We start from the raw sequence: 3,157 nt of genomic DNA on the forward strand, positions 1-3,157 counted from the left end.
AAATAAAATGCTAGTGGATTCAGATCACCCTCTTAGAATCAATTTGAAAAATATTTTCTTTAAACAACCATGAAGGCACCAAGAACAGAGAATTCAACGTCTAAACCAGTTTAAGGACAACGTCATTAATAATAAACATATTTCCCAATAATTTGGGCTTCTTTCATCTTGGAAACAACACTGCTTATCCAAAGTAAGCACCTCCTTATACCTATTCAGTGAGGCTGCAATATTGCCATATCCTCAACCCACCATATACACAAAAGGCATGCCAGTGATGCTGCTCCATCATGGTTTGAAACTTCCTTATTTCTCACACATGTGGCAGGTAATTAAACTATGGCTTGAAGTCCTGGCCTTGGCCAGTTAAACTAAGAGTCCTTCCATCAAATGTATCACTGTAAAACAGATAGCCTATCCTCAAAATTTAGATATCAGATGGGGATATAATATCGCAGTAACTTGTGATTACCACAGCAACTTGTGATGTCCCACAGCTTCTGTTCTACAAAGATGGGAAACAAAGGCAGGCTTTCCTCAGCTACAAGAGGTTCTGCATCAAGATAGCAAATCAAGATGGGAATTATCCGAAATGAGATTTTTCCATTAAGATGCCTAGATGTATTATAGACCTCATGGTCACATATAAGGAACAGAGAAAGTCTTTGGTAGATAACTGACTTTTAGGATTTGAGTTTATATTCAGCATCAATAACTTGAACATTATACTCTGAGATAGGTTTTCCCCTTTTGAAATTTGTGGATGAAAATCCTGTTTCACAATTAAATCAGTCTAAAAGAAGCTTTTAGTACACAGTCACACAAAAACTCCTCCCACCACAATTTTTTAGTCATTGGATGAATTGAAATCCATTTCTCTCAACATTGTTGGTCTTCCTAATATAGAGAGTTTACAGTAGATGTCAGAGAAAGTATTTATGGCAAAAGAATCACCATTTCTAATTTTTCCCTCTGAACATATATAAAGTATATATAACTTGTGAAGTAATGATGTCTCATATTTTTCATTCTAGAATGGCTATATTTTCTATTTTTGAATAGAGCCTTGACCCTTCCTATTATTAGGCCAAGGGAAAAGTATGTTAAAATCATCTGAAGAGCAAACATACTCTTAAAAACTCACTTTTTACTTTTTTACGAGCTGACAAGAAGCTTGTCTAGGTTTTTCCTTCTAAGATTTTTTTGGGCAAAAGAATATTTATAGAAGAATGAGGTAAAGAAATACACTTTTATAAAATCCAGACATCCTGCAAGGAATGTATTGAAAATTAAAAAGCTCTTATTGAAATACTCTGTAAGTGACTTACGACTGTATTTAGAAAATATTAAATGCAAATCATGGCCCTAGAGAGTACCCTAACTCAGGGTAGAGGACAGTTAAAAGATAACCAACACTTACTTATTTAAAAGTAAATTTAAAATGTTAGTTTCTTATCACTATATTTGCCATGAGAATAATGAAAATTTTAAATAAGAATTTATTTCTAGAGAATGATGATCAACTTTTTTTTTTACACTTGTGTGCATTAGCCTATGCAAACACATAAACATGTATGCACAAATGTGCACACTGAGGCAAAAGTTTTTCATAGAGATTATATGTTCTGCCTTTTCCTCAAATTTCACTGAGGTGGCTAATTTCAGGTGCATTTGAAAGAAGAATTTAAATATAGACTTTTTCAGTTCCATATGGTCTATTCAGTGTTCTGTCACCAGACTTCTCCTAAGATATGCCCCCAACCCTATGGTAAAGTACTTAAGTCCTTGTGAGTGACAACATTGTCTTCCAGTATACCCTTGCTCTTTGCTAAGAAAGAACTCCAGGCTTTCATTTTTCATTCTGGCTTCATTTTTATGTCTGTGTCTGATTCTCCAGATCCGAGTTTAACTACTAAACCTATGTTTAGATAAAAGGCGGATAATGCCATATTGTATTTGCTTGGTTTTGATGCTGTAGATGACAGGGTTCATTAAAGGAGGAAAGAGGAAGTAGATGTAACTCATGATAATGTGGACAACCTCTGGCACATTCTTCCCAAATCTGTAAATGAATGTCAAACCCATCACTGTAACATAGAAGATAAGAACACAACTAATGTGGGAGATACAGGTATTGAGGGCTTTGGCTCTCTCTTCACCAGAAGCAATGCCTATGACAGTATTAAGAATTAGAATATAGGAGAAGAGGATGATCAGACAGTCTAGGAAGATTGTTAAAGAGATCAAAATTACAGGGTAAAGTCTATTGAAAGTTATGTCAGCACAAGCCAGTCTCATGATTTCTTGGTGGAGGCAGAAAGCACGTGTGATAACATGAGATTTGCAATATGAAAATGAAAAAAGACGCAAAATTACAGGCAGGATGGATACAAAACCCCTTAGAAACACTCCCACTCCTAACGCTATGACTCTAGTATTGGTGAGAATGGAAGCATATCTCAAAGGATTGCGGATGGCAATGAAACAATCATATGCCATTGCCAGGAGGGAACCTGATTCCACAACAGAAAGGGAGTGAATAAAGTAAGCCTGTAGGAAGCAGCCCACACTGCTAATCTCCCTGTGATTCACCCATAGGATGCCCATTACAGTAGGCATCGTGGTCAATGTCACCATGAGGTCTGTGCCTGCCAGCATGGTGAGGAAGTAGTACATGGGCTCATGAAGACTGTGGTCATGCTTGATGAGGTAGAGGAGCATGCCATTGCCCAGAAGGATGCACACATAAACAGCAAAGAAGGGGATGGAGATCCAGTGATGAGCTGCCTCCAGCCCTGGAAAGCCAGTCAGCAAAAAAGGGGCTGCAGTAATATTGGGCCACATAGTGTATCCACCGGTAAAGATCAGATTTCTTGAAACCTTGAAACCAGGAGCCTCCAATCTTCCTGCTTGGAGATGATTAACTGGTGTGATAAATTTGACTCTGCAACTATTTTCCTGAAGAAGAATAGCATGTACAGACTATGGTTTTTTCCCTAATTAGAAAAAATACTGAGTTAATGGTTCGATTTTTCTCAAATTCAAAAATTTTTCATTAATTTTAAATATATTATCCGCAACTATTTTGAGGGTACTTATAAATATTTGCAACAACAGTGATAACAAAAACACATAACATAAATATACATAAATGGAT

At 36.5% G+C, this 3,157-nt stretch overlaps 1 protein-coding gene across 1 annotated transcript; it reads right to left on the reverse strand.

Annotated features, from left to right (window-relative positions):
- Nucleotides 1-1,905: 1,905 nt before the first annotated feature.
- On the reverse strand, nucleotides 1,906-2,844 carry OR51B2 (olfactory receptor family 51 subfamily B member 2). Its single transcript, NM_033180.5, has one exon. The coding sequence runs from the start codon at nucleotides 2,842-2,844 to the stop codon at nucleotides 1,906-1,908; it is 939 nt and encodes a 312-aa protein (NP_149420.4).
- Nucleotides 2,845-3,157: the final 313 nt, after the last annotated feature.

This window comes from Homo sapiens, chromosome 11 (genome assembly GCF_000001405.40).
Source record: "Homo sapiens chromosome 11, GRCh38.p14 Primary Assembly".
NCBI classification, from domain to species: Eukaryota; Metazoa; Chordata; class Mammalia; order Primates; family Hominidae; genus Homo; species Homo sapiens.